At 42.1% G+C, this 12344-nt stretch overlaps 2 annotated features.

Annotated features, from left to right (window-relative positions):
- Positions 837 to 886: an enhancer, noted in NCBI's record as "active region_29436". NCBI's record gives its function as "activates an Ori minimal core promoter by ATAC-STARR-seq in GM12878 lymphoblastoid cells {active_cell/tissue: GM12878}" and the evidence as "EXISTENCE:reporter gene assay evidence [ECO:0000049][PMID:35858748]".
- Positions 3817 to 3936: an enhancer, noted in NCBI's record as "active region_29435". NCBI's record gives its function as "activates an Ori minimal core promoter by ATAC-STARR-seq in GM12878 lymphoblastoid cells {active_cell/tissue: GM12878}" and the evidence as "EXISTENCE:reporter gene assay evidence [ECO:0000049][PMID:35858748]".

Below are 12344 nucleotides of genomic sequence, written 5' to 3'. Positions count from 1 at the left end.
AAAATATCAATAGTGCTGAGGTGAAGAAATCCTGGTCTAGAGCAGTGGTTTTCAACCCTCAATGTTCATTAGAGTCACTTGGGAAACTTTAAAAAATCCCTATGCCCTGGTCATTCCCCAGGCCAACTAAATCAGAAACTCTGAGATTGGGGCCCAACCCAGGTTTTGGTGCTTTTTAAAGAGATCTCCAAGTGATTCTAATATGAAGCCAGAGTTGAGAGCTACTGGCATAAAGATAGTCCAAAATATCCTATTCTTAAGCCCTCAACATATCTGACTCCTATGAACATCCATTTTGTGTCTCTCATGCAGTCTTCTGCCAAAACCATGTCCCTGTCTTTTACTTAGTCTATTTGTCACTGCAGGGCTCTTGAAACCTGTCAGACACCTAAATATGGAAACAATAGACACTGGGGACTACTAGATGACAGAGGGAGGGAGAGGGGCTAGCGTTGAAAAACTAACTGTTGGGTCCTATGTTCACCACCCGGGTGAAGGGATCAGATCATTCACATCCCAAACCTCACTATTATGTAATACGCCATGTAACAAACCTACACATGTACTCCATGAATCTAAAAGTTGAAATTATATATATAATATTTATAAATATTAACATATATTTATAAATGTTATGTATACATATACATTATGTATATGTATATGTATATGTATATGTATATGTATATGTATATGTATATGTATATGTATATGTGTGTATATATAGGAACCTGTCAGGCAAAGATAGGTTTTGGCTTTACCCTATCAAACGAAAGGGGATTTCAGAGGGCTTCTCTGGTAAACCACACCGTAGAATGCTTCCTACCCACTGGGGAAACCCAAGTTAAAAATGGTTAACAGGAAATCTAGTTGAGGGATATAATTAGCAATTATTAGCTCTTCGGTGGCTGTATTCATATTACATGAGATTATTCAGTAGCAGGAAAGGCTAGACTTATATCAAGTCTGTTTAGCTTAATAAAGCCAAAAAGAACAGTTGTTTTTGCATTTTTAGGTGGAAAAAACACACATTCTGAAGTTGCTCTTGTTAATTTGTTGAATGTTGTTGGAAAAGATGTTTCGCCAGAAGAAATAAAATTTCATAGTTTTTGTGAGAGATCAAAACACATTGCCTATGTCATCCTTTAATTGTCAAAAGATAATAAACAGAACTTTCTTACCCTGTTTCACTTAAGACTAACAGCTTGGAGGAAAAAAAATCAGAGGCCTTTGTTTTCTGCAAATTCACTGGGCAGCCATGTACAGTCTGGTGGTTCAAAGCTTTCATGATCTGTCCTCTGAGAACTTTGGAAAAACAACCCATGAGTACACAAGACTTTCTTTTTAAATTGGATTATTCTTTAATGAGGGTATGATTTGCTCAGGGTTATGTCAACTCCAAGCACCCTAGTTATGCTTCTTGGTGAGAATGTACAAGCCTCTCAGCACAGCTCAGCTTCTCTCTGTTGCATCTCTATCAAGGTCCTGCCTAGCAACAGCTGAAGGGAGCAGTTGAATGAAGATGTTCATTAATGCAGATGAGTGGCTTGTTGGCACAAGAACTTTCCAGCTAGAGCTGGGGGCAGAGTCCCTGACTCTTTCATCTTAAACACTGTGATACTGCTCACTTTAGGCTGGAGCTTCTCGGTGACATTCGGGGCTGGCCATTCTTAGTTGTGGGGGCCTGTCCTGGGCATTGGAGAATGTTTAGCAGCATCCTTGGGCCCTACCCACTAGATGCCAGTATCACCTCCAAGTGGTGACAACCAAAGATGTCTCTAAACATTGCCAAATGTCCCCTGGGGGACAAAATTACTCCCATTTCAGAACCTTTGTTACAAACTTATCAACTTCTAGCCGATAGTTTCAACAGGGAACTGCTGTAGGGCTTTAAATGTGTGAAACAATGAGATGAGGGAGGGGGCTTGTGATGTGATCTGATTGCTGCTTTGAGACGGTCCCTTGGCTGCTGCTTGCAGGGAGAAAGGAGACAAGAAGGTATTCCAAGAGACTTGCTCAATTCATGGTATTAGTCCAGGAAAGAGGGGATAATGGCATAGAGTGGGATTTTAGCAGTAGGAATGGAGAAGAAAGGAGGCATTGGAGAAATGTTTGGAGAGAGAGCTACAAGCCACCAGAACAAGTTGATGGACTAGAAAATATGTGGACAAAACAGATCAGCATCCAAGATGGCTCTTAGATTGTTGGTGCTCAGTACTACGTACTGACATGTAGAATATAGCAGGAGAAACTGGTGGAATGGGGGAATTCTTGGAGAGGTAGGGAGAATCAAGAATCCTGCTTTGGACGGGGCACAGTGGCTCACACCTGTAATCCCAGCACTTTGGGAGGCCAAGGTGGGAAGATCATTTGAGGCCAGGAGTTTGAGACCAGCCTGGCCAATATGGTGAAACCCCATCTCTACTAAAAATACAAAAATTAGCTGGGTGTGGTGGCACACACCTGTAATTCCAGCTACTCGGGAGGCTGAGGCAGGAGAATCACTTGAACCCAAGAGGCAGATGTTGCAGTGAGCCAATGAGCCAAGATTGCACCACTGCACTCCAGCCTGAGCAGCAGAGTGAGACTTACTCCAAAAAAAAAAAAAAAGAATCCAGGTTTGAGATCTCAATTGCCAGCTCATCAGGGTGAGGAGGTTACTGGGTCCAAGAGTCCTAGAACTCAGGGGAGAGGAGTTGGGAAAATAGGTTTGGTAAGAAGACAGATAATATTTGAAGCTATAGAGAAGTGAGTGTAAATGGAAAAGAATTGAGAACTTTATACTCTTGGCAACTCTATAATTTCGAGCTCCATTTTCAACCCCACCCTGCCACAGATTAGAGGCAACACATTAGAAATGGAAGAGGCTAGCGGAGACTTAGACTAGCTTGATTTAGCAGGAAACCCAGTTAAGTTTGAATTTCACATAAATAGTGAATAATTTTTAACTAAGTATGCTTTGGACATACTCATTTTGTCTCGCAATCCTAAACGGAGACCAACACCAGGGAAAGACGGCAATGTTTGATGATCATGATGTGTGCCTTGAGACACAGCAGATGAAACAATGCTTGACACCTTCTTTGAGAAGATGGGCAAATGTGCAGCATGTTTGAAAATGTATTTCCAAAATGAGATGTGTGACAAAGAGTTAAACATCCCTACAACAACCACAACCACAACCACCCCTGAAGAGGAAGCCTCAACCTCCCAATCCTCTATGCTAGCTACAAAACTATAGCTGAATTTTCTGGGCAACTCCATAGGCCTAAGGGACAAGAAAGCACCTTAGCAGATAGAAGATGTGAGAGCCCATTATTATAACTGGACAAGAAACTCAAAAGCTACAGTAGCTTTTATTGTTATGGCACAAGACACTTTAGAAACAGTTGATTTAACAGTTACTTTATGTTTTGTAGGTGAAGAAACTAAGACCTTGTGATGAGGTGTGCAAACAGTGGAGCCAGATAAAACCCGGGTCTTTTGACTCCTAAGCATAAACTACTCCAGGATTCACCAAGTGTGGGACACAAAATGAGAACACATAGAATATCATGGCCCTTGAGTTAAGCTGTCCTGAAGAACCCTGCTAGGCCATGCATGCTGAGTCATGCAGAGGGGGCCCCCAGGTGGCTCAGGGCAGTGTTCATTGCCTAACCGGCACTGAAGTCCTGTACTTCAATATTTTATCATCCAGTCAGACATGCTGGTGCTTACGAGCTGAATACTGACCTTGTTCCCAACCTATCTTCTATCATGCCTTCTTTTTGTAGGGTCTTGTCTCCTCTTGTCACAAAAACATAGAAATTTCTTTCCAGCACAAACTACCTAAAAGGGAAGGATAAACCAGATTGTCTGCTCTCTTAAGCATTTGTAGACAGACAACTTTTAAATAGAAGTGCATGCATGAGGTTCTAAAAGCTGTACAGGAACAGCAAGTCCCAGCCAGAGATCCTTCTAGAAAGAGAAACTCAAACTCCTGCTGTGACTATCGAAAATGAGAGTGTGGGAGATTTGGCTGTTGAGAGAAAAGCTGGTATCTTTGCTTCAGGTGAAATCGCAAGATTATGAAGTAAACTTAAAATAATCATAGAGTTGCATCCTCTAGCCTGGCTGGTGAAGTATGTTGAGTGTAGATTTAAGGAAGAAAGCTATGGAGCACACTTTGAGTGGCAAGTGTCTAATGAGTGTAATGACTGCCTAGAATATTTCATTTGTATTATCCTTGAATACCTAATCTATGGACTACACATATCATTTGACCCTAATACAAGCCTGATTTTAAAAAAACATAACACATATTATGTCTAGACTACAATCAAGCTTAAAAGTTTTACAAATTCCCTGGTTTTACTGCCTGTAAGTATGTATTTCTAAAATCTCACTTTAGGGAAAGGAAACTGGCGGAGGTGGAGTGGGGAGTGAAGACAGGAGAGTGTCTTTCTCTGCTGTATAGGAAATGGTTTGGTTTAATCTGAAACCACAATCACCATTTTATTCCATGAATCCCCAGTGCTCCTAGAACACTAGATCTTTTTCTTTCCAGTGCCCCTTCCCTACTGCAGTGGAAACTCCACCTGATATTCTTACCACCACTCTTTGTTCTTCTGCTTACTTCTGCCCACCCCTATCGTGCCCAGTTTGCATCGTTTTGTTTTCTTGCTGGAAATAATGAACTTCCCATTTCCATGCTACAGGTTGATTCTCTTTCATTTCTCAGTAGCCTTCACTTCTGTGTGTCATGGTTGGTTGCTTTCCCCCTACCTCAGGGTGCCTCTCTACCCATTAGGGACTAGAGTTCAAGTTTAACACTTTGCCCTCACAGCTGTGTTTTGCTGCACTCGATGACATAATATTATACCACTGACCTAAGAGTGGAATGACTTTAGTGTGTATATCAGTCACCTATTGCTGCATAACAAATAATCCTAAAATATAACAACTTCAAACAACAATATTTATTACCTCACAGTTTCTATGGGACAGGAATCTGGGAGTGGCTTAGCTGGGTCCTCTGGCTCAGGTCTCTTAAGGTCTGTACGGAATCAAGGCTGGAATCAAGGTGTTGAGCAGGGGCTATAATCATCTCAAGGCTAAGCTGGGGGAGAAGACACTTCCAAGTTCATGCAAGTGGTTGTGGGCAGGATTCGCTTCCTCAAAGCCTGTTGGACTGAGGGCTCCATTCCTAGCTAGCTATTGGCCAGAAGACACCCTCTGTTTCTTGCTGCATGAGCCTTTCTGTAGAGCAGTTCCCAATATGATGGCCTGCTTCACCAGAGAGAACAAATGAGAAGAGTCAGAGAGAAAGCACAGCTGAAATAACATTCTTTAGAACTTAATCTTGAAAGTAATATCCCATGACTTGTGCCACATTCTGTTTGCCAATGTCAAGTTACTAGGTCCAGCCCACACTCAAAGTGGGGACTACACAAGGGCATGAACACTGGGAGCGGGGAATCGTGGGGGCCATTTTAGAAGGTGTCAACCACTGTGTAATGGTGCAACGTGGCATAAAATTTTTAAATTCACATGGATTTAAGCAGCAAAGTGTTTAGAGATCACTACTCTTTGCCAGTTTATTCCAAAACATCAAATCCACTCAGAACATGAGAAATCTAGGCTAGAACTGTGTGTATGAGATAACAAGTCCACCAGGACCCTGGCTCTGATTTGTACGCAGTGTGGGCCCAAGCTGATGTCCTTCCTGCCCTTTCTAGCAACCTCCCTATCATCACCTGCTGGCTTTTGCATTTCTCCTAGCCCTTTCAGACACCCACCTGCCCATCCATCTACCTTCCTACCACTACCAGCCCACTCCCTTGCTCCTAGTGTCTGCTCCACTTTCTGATGCCACATGCCTGGGGTCTCCCAAATGGTCAGTAGCCCAACTCTCTGGATATGGTCATCCAGCTATCTGAATGTCCCCTCATCCACTTAAGCTTGATCTAGTCAAAATTTCTGTTCTTTCCCAGTCTGGAAGGCTAGTTCCTAAGAACTTGCTTCTCCTACTCTGGTCCTTCGTATTACCTGATAACCTCTTGTTCTGACCCATGAAATGGACCCAGCTGTATGTTGAGTTACGGAGAATAGCCAATAACATCATGGAAAATAAATTTGTTAAATGGATTATGATTGGTTTTATGTAGATAAAAAACGGCAGCCAGGAGAGCCTTTTGGCTGAATTTTCCAATTTTTCTGCAGGGTTTTTTTTTTTGTTTTTTTTTTTTTTTTTTTTTAGATATGGATACAATTGAAAAGTTGGCTCCTGTATGTTTAGGGAAGCTGCTTAAGAAATTGTTGTGAAGCTACTGTCTCTGTGAAAATGAAGAGAGGAGGGTCATCAAAAGCTAAGAAGGAGACAAAGAAAAATGGCGACTAAATGCAATGTGGTGTCCTGGGTGGGATCCTGGAACAGAAAAATGACATTAGTGGAAAAACTGGTGACATTCAAATAAAGTCTGGGATTTAGTTAATTGTAGTGCACCAATGACAGTTTCTTAATTTTGACAAAGGTACTCAAGTCACGTAAGATGTTAACCATGGGGAAATTGGGTAAGGGGTTAAAAAAATAAACACTGAGGAGAAATTTGGATAATTTTTATGTTGTGAAGAAACCCTTCAAAAAAGCATAAGGATGTGGGTTTTGTTTTGTTTTGTTTTTAAGAGGATGTGATTCCAGGATCACTTCTGTTTCCTCCCCAGTCCAGATGCCATCTCTTAGGTCAAGACTGTGAGGCAAGCATTTTCCAAGGGAACCACATGCTCGGTGTCCACATTCTTCCTATCTCAGAATGGTTAGAAACAGATGTTTCCACACAAGAATTTCAGCACAGAGTCGGTTTCCCTGCTGAGAAACACACCCACGCTCATGTGTATTTGTTAATTTCTTCCCAACACATAGCTTTCGATTGTAGCAATAGTTTTCCAACCACAAACATATGAAGTCCTGGCCTCAGTGGCCTCCCAGAAGTGCATATTATTATCAGGAAAGCTTGGCCAGTCCCCTAGATGAAGAAAGATGTGAATTTCACTTCCTGACATTTTCAGTGTGAGTGAACCCAGGTAAGCATGTGTCCCTGACCTCAAATATGGTTTTTCCATTTATTTTGGATGGCCACTGCTGAAAAGTATCCTGCTGAAGGGGTAGGTCCAAATCAATCTGGTAAGCATATTGCAGAGGAACTAAAATGAACCCCTTTCTAGTGTGACCACCAGATCGTCAGAGAATGTGTTCAGCATGACATCTCCTAATTGTGGCTTTTTCCTGCAACTAGGGAGAGGCCAAGCATAGTTTTTTGAGGAGTGAAACTTCCAGCAGCAAACCGCTTGGATAATTACTCAAGGTTTTCCCTACAGTATTTTCTAAGGCAATGTGTAAGTATAATTAAGGCTGTTTGAACATGTATTCTCTCCGCAGGATAATAAGGATAATATGTAAGAATCTGTTGCTGATTTATGTGTTTGCTGTCTTCAAGAAAGACTGTGACAAGGCTTTTCAAATGGAGGATCTGATTTTTGCTCAAGACGGTGCCTGTTTTAAAAGTAGTTGTTTTACCACTATTAGAATATTATTTAAGGGCGGGGCACACCTGTGATCCCAGCACTTTGGGAGGCCGAGGTGGGCAGATCACCTGAGGTCAGGAGTTGAGACCAGCCTGGCCAACATGGTGAAACCCTGTCTGTACTAAAAATACAAAAATTAGCCGGGCATGGTGGCGTCTGCCTGTAGTCCCAGCTACTCAGGAGGCTGAGGCAGGAGAATTGCTTGAACCCAGGAGGTAGAGGTTGCAGTGAGCCGAGATTGTGCCATTGAACTCCAGCCTGGGGGATAGAGAGACTCCGTCTCAAAAAAAAAAAAAAAAAAAAAAAAAGAATGTTATTTAAGAAAATGAAACATCTATACAGCCAGTGTCTCCCTTGCAAGACAAAAGGATCACCCTTTTTAAAATAGGTTAGTAAAAATCAGTAAATAAGCCTTAATATGAAGAGATGCACTGATGATAAAATTATTAACTTAATGATAAAATTATTAATAATTATTGGTTTATTTTTCTGTATTTTATTACAGAGAAAAGTTGTAAGAACAATGTGTTTTCTTTCTTTCCTGTATAGATCATGTTCTTCTTATGTTGTGAATAATGTTCTAATTTCTTACCTGCTTGTGTCTGCCATGCAGACCAGCCTGTGGATACCACAGTGCTGGACAGGGAGGAATTAACTTTCATTTTATAGCTCCATGATGTGTATATACCCTGGGGCCACGTGGGATATCATCTTTGTAGGATAAATAAGTTACAAGGCTGAAGTCTTTGATTTCCCTATGGAGTTCCGGAACCTTCTCCTCAGGGCTGTTTCAGAGGGCAGTGGCATCACACTTCACAGAGATCAGGAGAATGGGACCTGTCTCAATGACATTGCCCACAATAAACAGTAATTAACATTTTCAATTATATGATATCAATGATACTATAATCCTGAGTTTCTCACCCTTGGCACTATTGACATTTGGGGACAGATAATTCTTCGTTGGGGGCCTGGGGGTATGTCCTGCTGTAACTGCCCAATGGGTTCTCCTTGCCCACTGTCTAGACAGAGCCAAGTTACCAAGACAGGGAAATTGTAATAGACAAAGAGTTTAATTCACGCAGAGTTGGCTGCATGGGAGACCAGAGTGGTACGGGAGACCGGAGTTTTATTATTAGTCAAATCAGTCTTCCAAAAATTCAGGGATCGGGGTTTTTAAGGATAATTTGGTGGGTAGGGGGTCAGAAAGTGGGGAGTGCTGATTGGTCAGGTCAGAGATGAAATCATAGGGAGTGGAAGCTGTCCTCTTGGTGCTGAGTCGGTTCCTGAGTGGCAGCCACAAAGCCAGATGAGACAGTTTATCAATCTGGGTGGCGTCAGCTGATGCATTGGAATGCAGCGTCTGCAAAATATCTCAAGCACCGATCTCAACTTTTACAACAGCGACTCTTAAAACCATAATTTTTAATCCTGTGGCTAATTTGTTACTCCTGCTAAGGCAGTCTAGTCCCCAGGCAGGAAGGAGGTTTGTTTTGGAAAAAGGCTGTTACCGTCTTTGTTTCAAAGTTAAACTATAAACTAAGTTCCTCCCAAAGTCAGTTTGGCCTATGTTCAGGAATGAACAAGAACAGCTTGAAAGTTAAAAGCAAGATGGAGTCACTTAGGTCAGATCTCTTTCACTCTTACAGTTCACGCAGTTATAGCTTTTGCAAAGGTGGTTTCACTGTGCATTGCAGGATGTGTAGCAGCGTCTCTGGCCTCTCCCCATTAGATACCAGTAGTATATCCCAAGTTATGACAACCAAACTGTCTTCAGATTTTGTGGAATGTCCCCTCGGGGGCACAACACCCCCCCACACACACACAGTTACCCACACCTCTTTGAGAACCACTGCTATCTTCAACAGGGCAGAAATTTTTGACCAAGAGCATCTAGGGAAGAGGCCAATGATGCTTCAGGTTGAAAGGTTTTAAAAGCCCATATATTACTGCCTTTTTAATGCAAGCAAGATGCTGCAAATGCGGGCAATCGTGCAAGCACATAGGATCTGGCTTTTGCATAGGGATGGCCACGCACTTTACTAGGCCTCTAGGTTGCAATGGGCACCCCGGGAGAAGGCTGCCAGAATTCACCCCATAGGTGCAAACCAGCCCACCAGGGAAATCATGCCTGGGCCAGAGTAAATAAACACAAGCTTCTCTAAATAGCCCAGGCAAAGGAAAGAATGAAGGACAAAGAAGGCTTGCTAGGCAGGCATTTGTTTCTTGCATGTAACCTTTTTTTAAAAAACTTGAGATAAAATTCACATAATATAAACTTCACCATTTTAGTCACTTTAAAGCGTACAATTCATGGCTTTTAGTGCAACCATCACCTCTATCTAATTCCCGAGCATTTTCATCACTCCAAAAGAAACCTATATCTTTTTTTTTTCTTTTTTCTTTTTCTTTTTTTTTTTTTTTGAGACAGAGTCTCACTCTATTGCCCAGGCTGGGGTGCAGTGGCATGATCTTGACTCACTGCAACCTCTGCCTCCTGGGTTCAAGCAATTCTCTTGCTTCAGCCTCCTGAGTAGCTGAGATTATAGGCATATGCCACCATGCCCAGCTAATTTTGTTTATTTTTAGTAGAGATGGGGTTTCACCATGTTGGCCAGACTGGTCTCCAACTCCTGACCTCAGGTGATCTGCCCGCCTCAGCCTCCCAAAGTGCTGGGATTACAGGCGTGAGCCACTGCGCCTGGCCTAAGAAATCCATATCTATTAAGCAGTCACTCCCCTTTCCTTCCTCTCCTAGTCCCAAGCAACTACTAATCTACCTTCTGTCTCTCTGTCTCTGTATATTTGCTTATTCTGGACACTCCATATAAATGGAATGATACAATATATGGCCTTTTGTTTCTTGCTTGTTTTACTCAGCATGTTTTTAATGTTCATCCATGTTGTAGCATAGCTCAGGACTTCATTCCTTTATATTGCCAAATAATATTCCATTGTATGGGTATACCACACATGTGTTTATTCATTCATCACTTACTGGATATTTGGGTTGTTTTCACCTTTTGGCTATTATCAATAATACTGCTATGAACATGCGTGTACAAGTTTTTGGTTGAATACATATTTTAATTTTTTTGTGTATATATCTAGAAGTGGAATTGCTGGGTTATATGGTAATTCTATGGAGAGTAACCAACTTTGTAATCTGTAAATCTAAGGTGGTTAGCTTTTATTCTACTATTATTTAAAAATTTTCATTGACCAGACTTGAACACAATGCCAGTGATAGATTCTAAAAGGCCCTAGAATAGGCCTTCCTTAACCTTGGATTTCAAATGCTCTTGGAAAATCTCTGGATTAGTTGCAAGAGAACATAAAGCCTCTAGAAATTGGGTGTCAATTTTGTGCGTGTGCAAATGTGAACGTTACTGAGGAGAAGGTTCGTTGTTTTTAGTAGGATCTCAAAGAGTTCCACGAGCCCCTCTGAACCTAAGACCTCTGCATTAGAAATATCATTCAGCTGCTTTAAGAAAGAAAAGGATTGCAATCCTGGTGTTGGTGCTTGAGAGTGGTGTGATCACTAGCAAACATCAACATTTCTGAGCTCCTCATCTGTAAAATGGTAGCAATGACAATACCTACCACATTGTGCTATCATAAACCTTCACAGTAATTATACCTGTGGATACATCTAAGAGAGCCTGGCACAAGGGGGCTGCTCAGGATGTGCAGACTGCCCTGGGGAGGGGGCATCAGTTCATCTTTTGGATGTTTGAAAGTCTTGTCCTTTATTGAATGTGTCCTGAACAACTCATCTTCTGTAGGGGAGATCGAACACAAAAACAGACTCTTACACTGCTAAGAATAGATATGTTTTACAAAACACAAACTGAAATTAATGTTCTTAGAATGTCTAAGTAATTCCTTGAAAAAAACTTCTTTTTAGGCTACAACTAATAAAACTAATTTAATAAATTCAAACTCCTCTCCTAATAATTTGATACTATCCTCAATCCCTGGCTTTGGGTGTTAATGTGTTTTCTTTCTCCCTTCCCCTCCCTTAACCTCCCCTCCCCTAGCCTCCTCTCCTCTCCTCTCCTCTCCTCTCTCCCTTCCCCTCTGCTCCCCTTCCCTTCCATCTCCTCTCTTCTCTTCTCCCCTTCCCTTTCCTTTCTTTTCTCTTCCTTTTAGTCTTGTTCCCAGATAGTCTGAGTTTAATGAGAAATGGCTACCCCGCACCACTACCTATCCAACTGGGCAAACAAGGAACCACGGTATCATCGAAACCATTTTCTTTCCTACCCATGCCCACCCTTCCATTGAGTCCGTATCACTTCCTGACCATGGCAGCTCCCTAACACAATTCTTCCACTGTCTTTGCTCTCTCTTCTAAATTACTACCACAGCCTCCTCCTAAGTGGTCCCCTGCATTCATCTGCCTACCTGCCCCCCCACAACATCATTTACTGATTCTCAACACTACTGCCCAGGTGATCCTTTCATACTGCCAATCTGATTAAGCCACCCCTTGTAGAAATGCTTTGATGGCACCTCTGCATAAAAGCTACGATGTCAGCAGAGACAACTGTGTAATCTGGTCTATACTTTCCACTCTGGAATTATTGCCTACCATCGTCTCCCCCTTTCAGAGGTGTTTCCCATTCTTGAACATGCCAAGCTCCCTCGGGCCTCAGGATCTTTGTACAGGCTGGTCCCTCTACTTGGAGGACTCTCTACCGCCACCTCCTTCACCTGCTAACACCCAACAATCCTTGATGTTTTAAGGCAAATGTGGTGTCCTCAGAAGCATTGTATCTTAA

Source organism: Homo sapiens, chromosome X, assembly GCF_000001405.40.
Source record: "Homo sapiens chromosome X, GRCh38.p14 Primary Assembly".
NCBI lineage: Eukaryota > Metazoa > Chordata > Mammalia > Primates > Hominidae > Homo > Homo sapiens.
This window is presented reverse-complemented; position numbering and strand designations above follow the sequence as displayed.